At 44.9% G+C, this 18,417-nt stretch overlaps 2 protein-coding genes across 2 annotated transcripts in view, besides 4 other annotated features; one reads left to right on the forward strand and one right to left on the reverse strand.

Moving 5' to 3' along the window:
* The window catches only part of LRTM1 (leucine rich repeat transmembrane protein 1), a 48,872-nt gene extending 30,799 nt beyond the window's left edge, over positions 1–18,073 (reverse strand). The window contains exon 1 of the mRNA NM_001304389.2: positions 17,899–18,073. The gene's annotated coding sequence lies outside the window, so the exon portion shown is untranslated. The remainder of the gene's footprint in view (positions 1–17,898) is intronic.
* The window catches only part of CACNA2D3 (calcium voltage-gated channel auxiliary subunit alpha2delta 3), a 952,006-nt gene that overhangs the window by 826,478 nt on the left and 107,111 nt on the right, over positions 1–18,417 (forward strand). The gene's annotated exons all lie outside the window — the stretch shown is intronic.
* Positions 3,828–4,820: an enhancer, noted in NCBI's record as "H3K27ac-H3K4me1 hESC enhancer chr3:54986884-54987876 (GRCh37/hg19 assembly coordinates)". NCBI's record gives its function as "activates a minimal SCP1, AML or CMV promoter by ChIP-STARR-seq in primed H9 embryonic stem cells {active_cell/tissue: H9 hESC(primed)}" and the evidence as "EXISTENCE:reporter gene assay evidence [ECO:0000049][PMID:30033119]".
* Positions 4,821–5,813: an enhancer, noted in NCBI's record as "NANOG-H3K27ac-H3K4me1 hESC enhancer chr3:54987877-54988869 (GRCh37/hg19 assembly coordinates)". NCBI's record gives its function as "activates a minimal SCP1, AML or CMV promoter by ChIP-STARR-seq in naive and primed H9 embryonic stem cells {active_cell/tissue: H9 hESC(naive and primed)}" and the evidence as "EXISTENCE:reporter gene assay evidence [ECO:0000049][PMID:30033119]".
* Positions 6,807–7,798: an enhancer, noted in NCBI's record as "H3K27ac hESC enhancer chr3:54989863-54990854 (GRCh37/hg19 assembly coordinates)". NCBI's record gives its function as "activates a minimal SCP1, AML or CMV promoter by ChIP-STARR-seq in primed H9 embryonic stem cells {active_cell/tissue: H9 hESC(primed)}" and the evidence as "EXISTENCE:reporter gene assay evidence [ECO:0000049][PMID:30033119]".
* Positions 9,627–10,128: an enhancer, noted in NCBI's record as "H3K4me1 hESC enhancer chr3:54992683-54993184 (GRCh37/hg19 assembly coordinates)". NCBI's record gives its function as "activates a minimal SCP1, AML or CMV promoter by ChIP-STARR-seq in primed H9 embryonic stem cells {active_cell/tissue: H9 hESC(primed)}" and the evidence as "EXISTENCE:reporter gene assay evidence [ECO:0000049][PMID:30033119]".

Raw genomic sequence — 18,417 nt, forward strand, 5'->3', positions numbered from 1 at the left:
TACTTTTCTTTGTGTCAGCCCTGTTCTCAAGCAGGCCTTCCTCATCCAGTGCCCCCAGTATTCATCTGAGCAGATTGGCAAACTCAGTGGAAAGAAACCCCCTCTTTCCTAAAAGTTTCAGTTCAATGTCCTGGGGCTTGTTCTCCTTGATATAGTTTTGGTCAGTGCCTATCACTTTGGCACAGGAGCATAGGATGCATCCCTATGCCTAGCAGGTGGAGGGTGAAGCCTACACATGCCACATGGACTGGAAATTGGAGTCATGACAGCTCCCCAAAGGAAATGGTCTAGGTGTGGATAAGGAGGGAGGGTCTCTGCTGCTGAAAAAAGGGGACATGCCTGCTCAGCTGGCAAAAGTAACAGCTGTCTATTATTCCAGCTCAGCTGGAGTTCAAATTAGTTTGAGCCATCTATGAATCACATCAGGCAAGTTGCTAGCCTCTTTGGATCGTTCATTATTGGTTTATGAAATAAGCAGGTTGGGTTCAATGGCCCACTCCACCATTCCAGCTCAGAACTTGTGTAAATCTACCCATTGATGCCATACCCAAGGGGCAGCACTGGAATCAGGGCACATTATCAACATTCTCAAGCGCATTGGTCACTTATTTCAGGCCTAATTGTGTTGCAAACAGTAACCTGAAAAACCGCCCAACATCGTTGGTCAGGGCCTCAGAAAAATTCAGAACTGGTTTTGCAGGGGCACACTCCACAGAAGTGACTGTGGTCTCTGCCACAGATAGATGCATCCTTAGGCTCCTGGATGGAAGACTTTTTTTGCCTGTGATTCTTTCTGAAAACTGGGCCCCTGCCAAGCTCATCTGGCATGCTGTGCTCTGGGTAGAAGTAATTATTTTTATGAGGCATTATTCATGTCTAGTCTACCTGAGGGCCACCCCAAATAATGTTTCTCTAGCTATTAAAGGCTTCATCAGGCATGCAGAGTCTCTAGTAGTTTCCTTTAGGGGAAAAGAAAAAGATTCGTCTTGAAGTCTACCACCTCCAGTGGCAATTTGCTGTGCATTTCAGGGCCATGCTAAGTGGTTGGCACCTGAAAAAAGGGCGAAGTCTTTTTCTTTCAAGTGCAGCTGGAAAATGGGAGTCATAAGTGAAAAGTAGGGAACTGGGAGAACTATTTCCATACAGCCGAGGTAGCTTTCTTGTTTTGTTCTGAGCTGGCAAACTTCAACATGCTCAAGCAATGTTTTGTCAAATTTCTTAAATGCTGAATGTGGCACTGGCCCAAATGAACGTAGATGTTATTTTAGTGCTGGGAGAGATTTATTTTAATGTACAGATGCAGCCACTACAAAGGCCCCTTTTAATCTGCTGAGGGCTCTGTTCCTTGCTCTTTTACTCTTTGCAACCCCCTCCTCATTTTAGGGAACCTGTGTATGCTGTGAAATTGCAGTGTTCCTTCCTTCCCTCTTCATCTTGCAAGGCAGCGATATAATGCTGACAATAATTATAATTAAGATGCTTTGTGCAAGAAGAAGCAGTTTGCAATGCTTCCTCCTGTTTCCCAGCCTACCAGCAATTCAAAGAATGCTGCTTGATCAAAGAAAATATGCCAACAGGAGAGTGGACCTGCACAGCTCCAGGCTGTGGCAGGGCAGCCTCAACAGTTTTCCTTATCTAGGACCCAGGTTCTCTACTCACGAAAGGAACCCGTTCTTTTACTGCTCGGCTGTGAGATGGGAAATCCATCAGTTGAGCTGAGCCTCAGATACCAATATCTTGCACCTTGATCGGGGCCAAAATAAACGGGAAGGGACGCACAGAGGAAGCATGGTGACATGTGAGGTTTGCCTGAGCCAAGTCTGTGCTTTCAAGGCAAGAGCAGGAGAGGAGAGCCACAGACAAGATGGGGTGAGAGGGAAAATAAAGAGGATACTCTCTGGGCTCAGTGGCAGAGGGGAAACTGAAGCCAGGACAGTCCTGAGTCTTCTCACACCCAAGGCTCCTTTTAAATAATCATTTGTAATATTCCCTTTACTATCTCCAAATGAAATTCATAGAAAATGTAACTTGTTTTCCTATATGCTGCCAAAAAAATCTACAGAACGCTCCAACTATAATATCAAGAACTAGTTGAGAGTTGTTTATAATAGGAAAATAGATATTGTAATATTTTGGGGCATAACTACAAGATAATACAGAATAAAGTAGCTAGATGCTTGTGCTGCACTTTGGTGCAAAATCTGTCAATGCAGTGGCCACTATGTAGACATCTCACCCACAAATCCTGCCAGATACCTCTGTAATAGCCAAGCCGCAGACAAGATAAAGAAGACCCATCTCTCTCTTTCACAGCACTATAGTAATGTTTCTAGAAAATTCCATGTGCAAGACATACTTTGTATTTGGACATAAAACAGAGTTCCAAGCCATCGACACCATTAGGGACATGGAACTGTTCTTTGGTGTGCGGCCCGGGGGCAGTGGGGTGGGGGGCTGCTGTCCTGTGAGTTGTAGGATTTCAGTTACTGTGAACTTTGAAGCATCTCTACAGACTTCCAGAACAGACCCCTAGGGGGTGACGCAGCCCCACTGAGAACCACAGGAGAGCCTGGGAGCCACAGGGCGGCTGGCTCTGAGTCAGGCGTGCAGGGCTCCAGTCCCAGTTCCAAGAAGTCCTGGCAACTGCACAGCCCTGGTTAAGTCACTGAACCGCCGTGTACCTTTTCTTTAATGGAGAAAACATCTTCTCCCTTGCAGGATGGCTGAAGAGTTAAGTAAGATAACACAGGGTGGGTTCCTGGCCCAGAGTGGGCCCTCAGTAATTCTATTTTCTGTCTTCTTAGGACCAGCCATGCTTGTTATTTTATTTTAATTTTTGGAGACGGTCTCACTCCATTACCCAGGCTGGAGTGCAGTGACGCGATCTCGGCTCACTGCAACCTCCCTACCCCAGGTTCAAATGATTCTCCTGCCTCAGCCTCCCAAGTAGCCGGGACTACAGGTGCCTGCCACCATACCTGGCTAATTTTTGTCTTTTTAGTAGAGATGGCATTTCACCATGTTGGCCAGCTGCTCACAAACTCGTGGCCTCAAGATCTGCCCGCCTCAGCCTCCCAAAGTGCTGGGATTACACATGTTAGCCACTGGGCCTGGCTGGCCAGCTGTGTTTATAAACTGCCTCCTGCACCCCTGTTGGTTCTATACTATTTCTTCCCTCTGTAACCGCCTTCTTAGAGACAAAGGATGTTGGCCTTGCACTCTGCAGCACCCCTGTGGGCACAGGTTTCCTAGAAACTAAGCCCCCCAGGGCTCTGATCTCTCTGGGGCCCTGCCTAGTTTCCCAGGAGGCTCCCCAGTTGTCTTATTTCTTCAGAGGGAGGCCGCAAACATGAAGGGTCTGGAGGCTCTGGAAGATGTCATGAGCATCTTAGGAGCTCTTTTTGGGCTCTCAGAGACAGATCAGTTCACAGATGTGGGAAAGAAAAAATAAAACATGAGGCAAAAACTTGCAAGAAAATGTGGACTTACCAATCTCATATTAAGCAGACGGAATGTCAATCTTTTCTATAGGGACAGGGTCATTAAATGCATATTTTTTGAAGTAATTTTAGGTGAGTCCCTTTGGCTCATTCATTATAGTTATTTATTTTCTGCTTCTATTCTGAAGTCAGAAAGATCTGGTGTTCATGGGTTCAAATTCTGGTGCCCGCATAGTTCCCTCCAGCTTCCAGATGGGAAAGCTCTCTCATCTGTTTTCCAGCCCAGCCACTCCAAAACCTCAATGCCCTCAGCTGTAGAACAGAGGGACAATGACAATATCTATCTATGAGGATTCCACGTGCTCTTTGGATGTTTTACAAATTCAGCAGAGTTGGGAATGTTCTGGGTGGTTGAGATGACACTAGGTCTGGCTTACTTGTCTTCCAGCAACAAAGGAGGAAACTTTTCATAGGGATTTGAAGCCTAATGTTCCTGAAGGTGACATGGAGTCTGCTTAGTGGATGGATTGTTGAGCAGGAGTCATTCTCCAGTCTTGGAAAAACTGTACAGAGACTCAACTGCAGGGGAGGAAACCAGGATATGGATTAAATAATGCATGTATTTAATGTACATACCTGTTGTTATGTGTATGTGTGGGTGACATTTACTGAATATTTACTATGTGCCTGGCACTGTGCTAGGCTCATGACATACATTAGCTCATTTAAGGCACAAACGTATAAGGTGTGCATGACTCCTGTTCCCATTGTGCAAATGAGAAAACTGACTCTGAAGGCATGCTGCATGTACATGAAACAGGCAGGACTCAGCCCTAAGTTTGTCTGAAATTTTCAAATCTGGGAAGGAAGCAGACACAGATAGTAACTAAGAAACTGCTAAAGTGGTGGGGCCCGGTAACACTACGGCTTCTTACCTATAGAGGTGAGACTCATGAAATTCCCCACCCTCAGTACAGATAGCACTGGGCCAAGATCATGGGACGCAGCTGAAGCCTTCGCGCTTGGTGGTCAGATGGCCCATGCTGTGCGTAGAGGAAAAGTACCAGTCATTACAACAAGGCCTCAGGAGACCTTATTCTCTCAAAGCCACTTCTTGCAATACTTGGACATCCACGATCCTTTCTATTTTAAAGACTTCTGTCCATGCTAAAAGGTCCAGTTCCCCAGGAGCTGGGAAGGAGGTGAGGATTAAGCCATTGTGCTGGTTGTTTCCCCCTTGCCTGTGAACGCTTGGGGCAACCTCGGGCTCCTGCCTCTGCTAGCTTGACAGGCTGTGGGAATCACTGGGAGTGGGTGAGGGGGGTGCACTGCAAGTCAGTGCGCACAACCCTAGGTTCTCTTCCAGGATCAGCCCCAAGCAGACCTGAGGAAAGGCCTGGGACTTGGAGTCTGAGTAGCCTCTTGAGGTCACCCCGTTTTGCTAAGTGCTCCATTGTTTATGTTCTTGTGTCATGAATAAGCAGAGGCCACAGATTTCAGTCCACAGATTTCAGGAGTGCCATCCATGCAGTTTTATTTGAATTCAACCTAATTTCCATCAGAAGTCTTCATTATCCTAGTAGGCAAGAACTTTCCATGAATTCAGTGTCTCTCTGCCTATTCCCAGGGTTTACCTGAGGCCAAAGAGAGAGGGGGTTATTTAATCATGTCATCATGCAGGCATTTCCTGAGTCACCCAGTCGCATCTGGTCTTCTGTCATCAGTCCAGGCACAGGTCAGTGCTATGGCCTCCTCATTCCAAGGGAAGGTCACCTTCGAGTCAGTCGGCAGCTCCCTGGGCCTCACTCTGAAGAGCCTGCGGGAGCACGAACACTTCCCCACTGAGTTGTCTGTCTGTGGCCTCTGGGAGGCTGTCTCCTTTCTGGCAGTAGCAGGGCTTAGAGCAGGGATGCTTTCACATTCTTCCCAGCAATAGGAGAGAAAGGACTGTGTGGAGCAGAATACTCCTCACTGCTCTGGTAGTTTCCAGAGTTAGACCCAAGGTAGGAAGGCAGATGCCTGCCCAGACATCAGGGTGCATATCTTTCTGTCGGGGTCTACCAGCCCTTCGGCTTCCCTTTGATTCTCTTCCCTTTCCAGTCCAAATCATCTTTCCTGAGCAGCTCGTTCAGGAGGCTGGAGGTAGGGTGTGGAGAAGACAGGGTGCAGAGAGGACAAACTGGCCCAGGCAGTTCCCCTGTTTTTCTTCCTGCCCTGAGATTCCCCAGGCCTCAGCTTTTGAGAGTCAAAAATCCAGAATCTGCTTCTTTGTTCTCTGGATTCCTGTGTGTCCTCCCTTCCCTGAGGCCTTAAGCATGGAATGCTTTAGCTGAGGGAACAGAGAAGAGCCAGGGGGTGCCAGGAATCTTCAGAAAGAAGAACAACTGGGTTTCAGAGTTATTTCTCAGAGACAGCATGAGAGGCGCCGATTAACCTCCTTGTGTCTGGACCACAGTGCATTTGCTCATTCATTTACTCATCTAGCTTTTATTGAATGCTTACTGGGCACCAGCTATGCTTAGGGAATATGAGAGGTGTAGAGAAAACTTCCCCTTCACCCTCTGAAGGTTTGCTGAAAATCAACTGACAAAAGACCGATTAGTAGGAGAGAAGACATACAAAATTATTCGAACGTACGTAACATGGGGAATCGTAGGAGAATGATTATCCAATAACCCAGTGGGGTACAGAAGCTTACATACTGTATATACATTTTTCACAGGGGACAGGGGAGATGGGGACCCACCCTGGAGGAGACGGGCAGACATTAGGGAAGGTGAGGGGCAGAGCTGCACAGGGACAAAGGTTGTCTTATTATGCAGATAATGTCCCGCAGGTAATCTCTTGAAGCTACTCTCAGAAGAACAGATGAAAAGTCTGTCTGGGCTGGTGATGACTCCCACTCTCTTCTCTGGTCATTGATCTTTCCTGGTTATTTGATGAGATTTCTAGGGCAGGGGTTTAAGACAATTGCATTTCTTTTGGAAAAAAGAAAAAAGAAAAAAAAGCTCTCTTGGTCAGATGAGGATATTCCAAAGAGAGTCCCTCCCTGCACTTAGGATAAGAGGAGAAACAATACTAAGCTAGAGGAACGTTGATTCTGAGGCAGCTTCTAAGGTCTATCAGCATGTCAAAGCTCCAGTCTTTGGGATATCATTCTTTGAGTCCCAACAGAATGTTGGTGGAATGGAGAAATGTGTAAATTGAGGGACACTGAGATCAGACAGCCTGGCTCTCCCCTGAGGCCTCTGTCTACCGAGGGGGCTTTTTTGGGTATTGGCCCTGCTGAGAAGGAGTTGGAGTTGACCTGCCAAATCAGATGGGAAAGTGCCAGCCCCACCTCACAGCCCACCCTCAGGAGACCTGACCAGCTAAGCCTGCTCACGAAACCTGGTGAGAGTCAAGGAGCAGTGGCTTAACAACAGAAGATGGCTTTTCCAGCCTCGCCATCTGCCTGATGAAGAGAAAAAATTGGTATTCTCCACTCCAGGGCTGACTCCCACATATTCTAAGGTCCTGAGATTCCAGGAAATGAGAGGGAAAAAAGTGCGTGATTACTCCAGAGTGCCGTCCGCCCCTCCTTAATGTTTCCCTGTCTCCTTCTCCCTCCCCTCCCTCCTCATAATCACCTCATGTGCAGCTCTTCTGGGAGGATCTGCCTTGGGCCAGGTCTGCTGCAGCTGATCATATCTGCCACCCAGGTGTTTGACTTTGAAGTGGGTATCTCCCTGGCCAGAGGGAACCAAGCCCAGTGGCTTGCCTTGCCAGGCTGCCTTGCTGCATGAGCAGACCCGTAAGCGCATGGTCTTCCCTTGGCTGTTCCTGGTGTAGTCATCCTTTCCATGTACAATGAATTGGAGATTCCGGGAAAAGAAAGTGATGGTCTTGTTGACCCACCACCAAGGGGACAATTTTGCTGTGTCAGGCTATCCCCAGAATAATTACCAGTTTTTGTTTTAACCTTCCTGTCTTTGTCTTTTAAAGGCCAGGAAATGCAGCTTCCTAACTTGCATGGGCCACATGGTCTTAACGTTCTCAGTCTTTTCAAACTCGTTACCAACCTAGGATTTTGTGCACAGCCAAAAATACTTTCTCCCCCACTCCCTCTTCAACTGGTCTTAGGCTGTCATAAATTCCTGCTCATCCTACAGACCCTGCCTCTTTAGTGGAGAGCTCTTTAACTCTACCTCCAGATTAGGTAATTTGTTCTCAGAGTAATCTTAAGGTAATGGCCTAATCACCTAAGCAAATCAGTCATCATTACCTAGGGGAAGACAGAACCCATTTGAATATTTAGATGCATTAATTGGTGCAAATATTCTAGAGTGTTTAGGTAGCAAATGACTTACCTTGATACCTCCAGTTTGCATTTTATCTGACAGAAAAGAACACCGAGAGCACACTACATCTTACAGTTAGGGAAACCTCTTTGCCTTTGCTGTATAGGTTGAAAACAGGGGTGAAGGTAACTTCTTAGTAGGAGACTTGAGGCCCATAACTTTCTTCTATGACCCTTGCTCTTCTCCAATATCAAGTTTGCAGGATGTTATTAGGATTAGCAATAAAGTTTTTTAAGCTTCTAGCAGACACCTGGCACATACTAGAGGGCTTCATAAATGGGATTAATTATGATTATTACTACTGCTATGATTACTATGTGATATAATTCCTATGAATCAAGTTATAAAATAATTTTCTTTTTTTTTTTTTTAGAGACAGGGTTTCTGTCCCCCAGGCTGGAGTTCAGTGGCACAATCATAGCTCAATGCAGCCTCAAACTCCTGGGCTCAGGTGATCTTCCTACGGAACTTAGACTATAGGTGTACGCCACTGCACTCAGCTAATTTTTTAAAACTTTTTATAGAGATGGGGTCTCACTCTGTTGCTCAGGCTGGTCTTGAACTCCTGGCTTCAAGCAGTCATCCCATCTCAGCCTCCTAAAGTGCTGGGATTACAGGTGTGAGCCACCACACCCAACCATAAAATAATTTTCATCATGGAATAAGTCTTAGGTAATTCGGAGACATATCTGGTGAGCAGAGAAATATGTTTCATTAAATAATTTACTTGGAAGCCAAAGCATGTTCAAACTTATCAAACTAAAATGACAGAGCCTTGAGGTCTGGTGTGTGTGTTAGGGAGGGCCGGTGGGGAAGTGCTGTAACTGGCCAGATTCAGATACGACTGATGGGCCTTTGGCAAACTCAGGGGTTCCAGGCCCCACCCAGTCAGGAGGGTTAGAAACAAGATCACACCTCTCCATCCCTGGTGCCCATTGCTCCATGCCAGTCCGTCTGTCATCTCTCACCCGGTAGGATGAGCACGCATGACCCCTACACAGTCCCCCAGACACAAACCATGCATCCCAGCAACTTCCCCTGTAGATTTTTCCAAAGCACAAATCTATTTGTGTCTCACATCCTTCCCTCCCCTGCTGAGAACCTTTTCATTGCTCTCTGTTGCTCTTGGGACAGAGTCCAAACCACATGGATGGCAGAGGTAGATGTCTGGAGAGAGCAAACTCCCTGAGAATAATTGATATCTCCATCCACATTGCATTCAACCACCCCGTGTGTGTTCACAAGTGCCTGCCTGTGCTGGTAGCTTCTCTAGGTACAGGGAATACAGCAGTAAACAAAGAGCCTCAACCTCTAGTTGGATGAGGATGAAACACAATAAATAATATAAAATGTCATTTAATGTCAAATATTGATAAATGCTATGAAGAAGCAGGTTTAACTGCTGACAAGAAAACCAGCAGAATATTCCATGTATCGGATGGGTGTGGTGGCTTCAGCCTATAATCCCAGCTACTCAGGAGGCTGAGGCAGGAGGACTGCCTGAGCCCAAGAGTTGGAGGCTGCAGTGAGCTATGATTGTGCCACTGCACTCCAGCCTGGGCGACAGAGCAAGACCCCACCTCTATTTTTTTAAAGAGTATTTTTAGGTCAAAGTCAGTTTATTCCCTACAGCAGTAAGGGAGAATACAACCTTGATAGTCTTAGAAGTGTCTCAGAAAGAGGAAGCCAGGGTGGATATTTACAGCATTTTGGAGTCTGGGCAGGTCTTCCAATGTGGGGATCTGGTTGGGATTGGGACGTCTCCTGAGTAAAGCAATAGTTATTATCTTTCTGAGCACGAATTTTCTGGAACTAATAGCAAAGTCATGAAAGTCATGTTGATGGAGGTGGCCTTGGTCCCAGTCCTAACTGTTAAGCTGCAGGATACAAACTGTCTCAATTCTCTCAGGGCTAAGTATGCAACAGAGATCACCCCAGGTCATTGCCTGGGGATGTTCTGTGTAACCCCCAGCCTAGAGTTGCCAGATTTAGTAAACCAAAAATATTTTATCTGCCTGGCATGGTGGCTCACACTTGTAATCTCAGCACTTTGGGAGGCCAAGGCAGGAGGATTGCTTGAACCCAGGAGTTTGAGACCAGCCTGGGCAACATGGCAAAACCCTGTCTCTACAAAAAACACAAAAATTGAGGCATGGTGGCACATGCCTGTAGTCCTAGCTACTCGGGAGACTATGGTGGGATAATTGCCTGAGCCTGGGAGGTCGAGGCTGCAGTGAGCCATGATCGCGCCACTGCACTCCAGCCTGGGCAACAGAGCAAGATCTTGCATCAGCAAAAAACCCCTTTATCTGGCAATCCTATTAGAGTGCTGTCAGTTTTTCAAATGAACTGTCTGTATATTGAGTCTCGTGTTCCACAAGGTACCAGTTGGGCCAAGCTGAGCTCTGCAGCTCCCTGGAGACTGCGGCACAGGGTGGTGTTCAGTTCACCACAGTTCCCTGTCAGCTCTGGAGGGAATTTGAGTTTGGGAGCTCCACAGGGGACTCAGGTCCCTCCAGGGAGCTGGGTGTGCTTGGGCAAGTTCTTTGCCATCTCCGTGCCCTGTAACATGAACCTGACAGTCAGAAGGTTTGCAGGCATCCCTCCAGCTCTGTGGACTGCCCACGTGGAGATTTTAGTGCTATTTTATATTAAATAAGTCATAAACATCCAACTCAGAGATGTTTGGCAACTATATGTGGCTGTTCTATTATTATTGGTTTGGAAATGTTTAGAAACTTGACCCCCAATTTTGTTATGGTCTCTTTAGTAACTGTTATTAGGTGGTGACCTAATAAGAAATTATTAACTAGGGAGCTATAACTTGGAAGCTTATAATTTTTTAAAGGACATTGATTTGTGCAGCCCTGATTAAAATACAATGAAGCCCGAGGCTTAAATGTTTTCTTCTGAAAGGTTGAAAGGGTGGGAATTGACTCTAAAAATGTATTGGCTTGAAAACTTTATTGAAATAATATTATTTGAAGAACTTTGTGAGCATAAAATGATCTGACAAAAACAATTTGATGCTAGCTCCGGCAGCCTGGGAAAGCTGAGGGAATATAGGTTTCTTCAGATGAAGTCTGGAAAAATGCTTCCAGATTACCTCAAGGGTGAAAAGAAAATTATTATTCCATTCCACAACCCTGCTAATTCTTTTCAACATCAATCCAGTCAAGTAATTAGAACCCAAATGGAGGAAACATTTATAATTGTCATTTACTCTACTTTACCAAAGGTGACAGTTCCGAGAAGCTCTGACAGGACAAAAAAAAAAAAAAAACCAAAGTGATTATGAAAGAAATGTGTGGCCAAATGGATCAGGCCTTCCTACACTGGTTCCCAGAAGCCAGTCACAGGCAGCAGGTAGGGATGGTTACAGATTAAAATAGGCCTCCTCAGCAAAGAAAATCTTCTGCTGCGGCCTTGTCAATGGTGTGATAATGTGAGCTATTTCTCCTCCCTCTCTCTCACCACAGACATATATCATGGAGTGCTTTGTTATTTAAAAGCATGTATAAGAAAGATTACCAACCCCCCATACCACAGGGAATACTTCAGAAGTGAAATATGCAATCATTTAGGGGTTACATTTAAAATACCTCCTCCCCTTTTATCATTATATTTCTTCACTTGCACTAGGCTAAAATATGAGGTGTTTCTGCTGCTGTGAGAATTTTTTTTTCTAATTTCTGAAATAATACCATAGCTTGGAGATTAATGTTCAGGCTTTACCAAGATTATAACAAATGCATATTGCTTTGATCTAAATATTTCTCCAAAGGTTGTTGCTGATCATTCTCCCTTGCCTATAATCTTCTAAGAAAGCTTTTGAATTTGCCAGCCTGATACCCAGGGGGACAAGAGTGCAGCTGCCTTCCCTTCCTTCCCCCTCATCTTCCCGAGGATACTCTGTTCTCAGTTTTGCCCAAATTAGTCCCAGGATTTCAGTTGTCTTTTTTGTCCAACATTCCATCATGCAATTCATTAACATCTTCACATGAAATATTTAACAGATGAGTTATGTCCTAATTCACATTGCAGTTTTAAATTGTTATTCATGTGGTAAGTCATTTATCTTGGACACCAACAGACCTCCGGAATGGGCTCACATTTGATGTAAAGAAGGTTGGAGTTATTTTCCTTGATGCTCCAGAACAGTGCCCTTTTTCCAAACCCTGGGTTAATCATGAAATATTCCCAAAAAATGACATTCAGATTCGTTGTTAGTTCTACTTGCAGTTAACTGTTTTGAAAACAAACAGAAGAAAACATTTAAACAAACGTGGCTTGGGTAATGGCTATTACAGTTGACCGTTAACTAAGGCAAGTTGGAATCCAAACATGCCAGGCCTTGTTACTATCACTGCTAGCAATCTTTGCCATGGTGCACAAAGAAATAAAAATTCAGAGACTGTCAAAGTGGAGGTGAGACTGGATAAGAGATATTAACCAAGCCATGTAAAAATACCCAGTGCCCTGATTAAGAAATATGACCAGCAAGGAAGCTGATGATCTGGATGAGCATTTATCTGTACAATTTGGGTTTTGGGAAAAGTCACTCTACTCCTAAGAGATGAAATATATGGGAAATCCTTAGCAGGTAATTTATTTATTATTAACTTATTGTAGTTGTATTCCCTCTAATAAAACTACAATTTTCTACTATATTCCTACCTATGGATTGGAATCTATTAGGAGAAAATCTTCTGTTTGTAGAACAAGCCAGTGCAAGTCAGCTCTTGGATCTGTTTCTCTGCCTGGACACCACAATGAAATGGTAATTGTCCACATTTGCAATTGTCCAGCAGTAGCCAGGTCATTGAGAAGTTTTGTGGGCAGGTGGCCTGATTGATGTGCACAGGAAGCTGATGGCACCAGTATCATGGACAGCAGTCTTCTTGGGTTCTGTACCCTGACCTGTCTAACCTTGTCCTGAGTATGCATGAATGATCACAATTCCAGAAGGGGTGGGTGACAGGACATCTTCTGTTTTCTTTTGCTTTTAACAGAGTGGTAGAAGCCGGGTAATTTGTAAAGAAAAGGAATTCACTTCTTAAAGCCTCTTCTCAGAGGCTGAGAAGTCCAAGTTCAAGGGGCCCCATGTGGTGAGGGACTTGCTGGTGGGGGCTCTGCAGAGTCCCAGGGAGGCACAGGGCATGGCATCGTGAGGGGACTGAGCGTGCTCACTCAGGTCTCTCTCCCTCTTCCTGTAAATCCACCAGTCCCACTCTCATGATAACTCATTAATCCATTAACCCATTAATCTATTAATAGATTAATCCATTCATGAGGACAGAGTCCTCGGGACCCAATCACCTCTTAAAAGTGCCACCTCTTAATACTGCTGCATTAGAGATCAAATTTTAACATGAGTTTCAGAGAGGACCAACATTCAAACCATAGCACAGGTTTTGAATGGTGGAGCACACCTTTCCTTAATCCTGAAGGAAAAAGATTAATTCTCTAAGAGCCTGCTTGGCTGATAGCATGATTTTGTAATGCATTTGCTCACTGATATAACACTCTAAGGAACATTCCTAGGAGTGGACAGTTTGCATTGGTCATAGATGAATTTTCTGCTCACTCTCAACATAATTGGCATGAAAGGCATATTAGCCATGAAACATAAGAATAAAGAATAAAAGCTCTAGGAGCAAGTCATAACATGAATGATGACAACACTATCAACTAGTTAGAGTATTTTAATACCCGTGATTTTATTTACTCTCACTGATTTTTGTCCCACAAAAATTCTGTTCAGAAGCCAGAGCCGGTGCAACTCTATTGGTGGAGACAGAGAGGTAAAGTGACATACCCAAGGGTACACAGCAGTGGTCTTAAAACGGGTTTGCAATCAGTTCTCGCAGCAAAACAACTCCTGATTGGAATTCACTGATGGTGGCAGGATTGTTTTTCTGCCTTTTGGATGAGCTCTCTATGTGTATGTGAATATATTGTATGACTGGAGGGCTGGGCAAATGGAAGTAGGGGTGTTTGGGTGAGCTTGTGTGCCAGGCATAGTGAGCACTATTTTACAAACCAGATCTGTGCCCCTCTAGTATGTTGCAAGTTGAGGCCAACCCCACAGGAAATTATTTCTAAATGAATACGATATGAGAAAAGTTGTTTTATTTCTAATTTTATATGTTTTATTTCTAATTTTATATTTTGTGAGTTTCAGATTACACTTGAATGCATGTCTATTAACATGATATGAGATGCATGCATGATTTCATCTTGAATGCATTTAAACATAATAGCACTGCAAATGTAATTTGTAGTCTCAAGTTTTATAAAGCAAAATAAATAAATCTGGAGGGTGGTTGTTGCATTGATTTCTTTAGGGTTCATTCAAACTCATTTCCAACTTCCCCTTGCAAGTCCAGGTTGTCTCACGCTGGCAGTCCTGTCTGATCTAAACCCCCTATACCTAAGTCATCTCATTTCTTCTACCTCTGGGGAGTGGTAGTATGGACGGGTTTGTGGAGAATTGTACCTTCCATCCTTAAGGAGTGCTAGGGTCCATTTCTTTTCTATGGTTCCTTCTGGGATCACTGGTCATCGTCCAGTAGAAGTCTCTGCAATGATGGAAATATTCTAGATCTGCATGGTCCAGTACCGTAGCCTCTAGCACCCTGTGGCTACGGAGCACTTGACATCTAACTAGTGCAACTAAGGAACTAAATTGTGAATATTATTTAATTTTAGTTAATTTTTATTTAAATAGCCACATGTAACTAATGGCCACTAATTTGGACAGCACAGGATCAGAGCATTCAAGGTCAGCTGCCTGTCCCTAGATTCAAGCATGCCGATCATTGGTATTCTGCAAAGCAAATGGTCTATGTGTTTTGGATGATGCCCTGCATTCGTTTCTGTCAGCTCTGGGGATGCTGAAGTGTGAATCTCTCTTCGGTGATTTGACTGCCCTCCCCAGGCCTGTACCCCTGGCGGTTGTGTCTCTCACATCTTTTTCTCAATACACCTATCACCCAGCACATACTGGGTTTCTGATAAACATGGGAGAAAGGAATGGAGGAAGGGAGGGTAAAAGTAGATAAGAAGGAAGTTAGACAGTTGGGAAAAGAGGAAGTCTGGAAGGAAGATACTTTGTTGAAGTTTCGATATCTGTAGTTAAGCCCTCTTAGAGTATTGAGAGGAGTTGTGAGAACAGTCACACAGATAGTTCAAAAGAGAGGTCAGTGCTTCAGATTCCTGAATATTTCACATGAAAGGATTCTGGGCTCTTTGAGATGGCAATTCTTATAACAATAATTTTGCTGTCTTGGTTTCCAAAGACCATCCCAGTATCTTGGGGTCGCTGTCCTAGGAGGCTCACCCCATATTGGCACATGGGGAAGGATCCTATGGGATAATATTTTCTGGATCGGTTGTGTTCCTGGGTGGTGAGTAAGATATCACCAGATGCAGTTGTGTAAAGGGACTTTGTCTCTATCCATGTGATGAAGATTCCCAGCAGGGAGGGAGCCCTGGGACATCTGTAATCAAATTGAAGTAAGGAGCACTGTGACCTCCGGGGAAATATGTTGATGATTTTCTGGACTGTCTAAAACATTACAAACCCCAGGAATGGTGATTTTTTTTTTTCTGTAACTCTCCTTGGGACTTGAGTTTCACAAAAGCATTTGCTGTCTTTGTTTTCCTTATTAAATTAGCAAGACTGACTTAAATCAATATACTGTTACTGCTTGAAATGTTGCTGAAAGAACAAAATAGACGGGCTTGACAAATGTCTCAGGTTCCATTTAGGTTATGTGGGGGCTGAAGGGAGAGAGTGGGACTCACTGAAGTAGTCGTGTTTTCTCTGATAAAGGTCAAGAAAAGAAAAATGTGGACCAAAACTAAGGAAAATAGTGAAAGGAAGCTACACTTCTGTTTGTGGCTTGTGGCAGGTGATATTTGTTTTTCTGAATAGAGTTGGCCATAGGATTCCCTTAAGCATTTTTGTTTATTTGCTTGTTTGTTGGGGGAGAGGGTTATTCTTATTTTTTTTTTTGTTGCCTTGTTTTTTGCACTTTAAATCATTTTCACGCTCAAGAAATAATGAGCTCAATCCCGTTACTCTCGATCCCTTACTCTCATTCTCCCATTTCCCATTTTATAGGCCCTTTCCCTAGCACTTCCTCTGCGAGCTTTCAGAGTGGGCTTTCTAAAAATATAAACCTGATCCTGCCACTTCGATACTAAAGACCTTCAATGGCACCAACGGCAGATGTCAGAATACTTTTTCTGTAAAGGACCAATAGTAAATAACTGAGGTTTTGTGGGCCATGCAATCTCAGTTAAAACTACTCAGCTCTGCTATTGGAGTCATAGACAGTGTGCAAACCAATTAGTGTGGCTGTGCTGCAAGAAAACTTTATTTACAAAAAGAGGCTGGATTTCACCATTGGACCAATCTCTGGCCTACGTACTCTTGAAGCTTTGGCCTGACATTCAAGACCTTTTGCCATTTGACCTCAGCCTGAACAACTGGGTCCCCGTTCCCATTCTTCTCAAGCCTCCAAACAAATGATGGTCTTTAAAAAGGTTCTCTCCCTTCCCCTCCCTTACTGTTTCCTCCATTTGGATTGCCATCTTCCCTGGCTTCTTACTGTTCTGTGAGTGGGCTCTCCATGCCTCACCTTACACAAAGCTCTCACCAGGCCAAGTCAGCCCCATTCTCTGCACGCTCCAGTTCTTTATGCCTCTAGTGTAGCTTTTACAATGGATCTACTCCTCAACTGGACGTGGAGGGAGCTTAGTACCCAGTGTAGAGCTTAGTACTCACTGAACAAATGGTCGTGAAGTTGATCCATCAATGAAATTGTGAGTCCCTTAATCATAGGAGAGTATATTAACTTATGGGTAAAAGAAAACACTGCAAACCCCAGATATGCCACAGGAAGCCAGGGGCCAGTGTTACTGGAAAGGGGATGAGGTCAGCTAGCCGGAACACAGCTAGGTCAAAACTAGCAGAACAATTGCAGCCAGGACTATCCAGGAGCCTTTGGGCAACAACCTCATGGTGCAGGCAGGGGTGTGAGTGAGGAGAGAGGGAAGCAGTTCTAGTTCAGGGCATCAGGACCAGGACGAGGATGCAGCCTGCTGGAGGGAGATCAGAGAGAAGCAGCCTGCATGATTAATGGGATGGAGGGACTGACTCATGAGGAAAGATGAAAGCGCCCCAAGGAGCTGGGGTAGAGGACCGACAGGGGCAGATGAGAACAGACTGCAAGTATGTGAGATGGATAAACACCCAGCGGGGAGCAGCTGGCTTCATCAGGGAGGTGAAGATGAGGGCTCCATCAGAGAACGGGGGTGGGGGTCTCAGAAAGGGCATCAGGAGACTCATGGAAGCTCAAGAGATGACAGGTGGGCCCAGGACAGCTCTGGGCTGTTGGAGGGAGAAGCACCATGGAAAGGCTACCCTGGAGTGACTCTTTCAGGGAGTCAGACCCTGTTTTGCACCCTGCACCCTGGCCTGTCAGGCATTTGGAAGATGAGATTTATTTGAAATGCAGTCAACTACCATCAGACTCAAAATCAGCTTCTTTCAGGCATTCTCTGAAATGTTCTCCAATGCTGGGAAGAACAGCTTTTGTGTTGTGTAGTCTGGCCACGTGGCCCACATCACAGTAGGTCCCCAACAGCTGATTTACTAAAGCCATCCCCCACCTTGGCTGTGCGTGAGAATCATCTGGGACACTTTTAAAACATACCCAAGCCAGCCACATGGCTCACATCTGTAATCCCAGCACTTTGGGAGGTTGAGGCAGGCAGGTCACTTGAGCCCACGAGTTAGAGATCAGCCTGGCTAACATGGTGAAACTTCACCTCTACAGAAAATACAAAAATTAGCCAGGTGTGGTGGTGCACACCTGTAATCCCAGCTACTCGGGAGGCTGAGGCATGAGAATCACTTGAACCCGGGAAGCAGAGGTTGCAGTGAGCTGAGATCACACCACTGCACTCCAGCCTGGACAGCAGAGTGAGATTCTGTCTCAAACAAACAAACAAACAAACGATTCGCATAGGTGTTACTCTTCTATATTTCTCTCTAACTGCTGACTATAATATCACTTGAAAGTTTTTTTTAAAAAGCAAGCATTTACCTATGGGTCGTCTGTGTACTCAGCATCTTGCTGGAGGCAGGGGTCCAGCAGGGAGCAAGAACAGGTCCTCATTCTTGGGAAGGCTGTGGTCCAGAGAACGAAGGACACTTAAGGCAGAGCAGAATGAGCCTGGGCACCGACATGGTGCATTTCAGAGGCTTTTCACGTTCTGCATGTTGCAGCCGTGCACTGCTCTAGTCTTTATCCTAGAGTCGGAAATTCTAAGTGCAAACACAGATGGCAAATCTCTCCCAATGTACACACCCAGTTAACCTTTACTCTCAGGGCTGGCTTCAACAATTTCTTTAGGAAGTAGAAATGCCCTTGATAGTTATCAGGGTAACAACAGCCCAAGACCTTTATGAATCTCCAAGTTCCTGAAGCCAGCACAACAATGATTACCCAAATGGGAGGTCCAGTATAGTGGCACGCAAAATTTTTAGAGTATTTAAGTGATTTTTTTTCTTACAATTGTGTATTTCTTTTGATGGGTGTTCCAGTTTTATTTAGGTTGAATTA

The sequence above is a fragment of the Homo sapiens genome, chromosome 3 (assembly GCF_000001405.40).
Source record: "Homo sapiens chromosome 3, GRCh38.p14 Primary Assembly".
Lineage (NCBI taxonomy): Eukaryota > Metazoa > Chordata > Mammalia > Primates > Hominidae > Homo > Homo sapiens.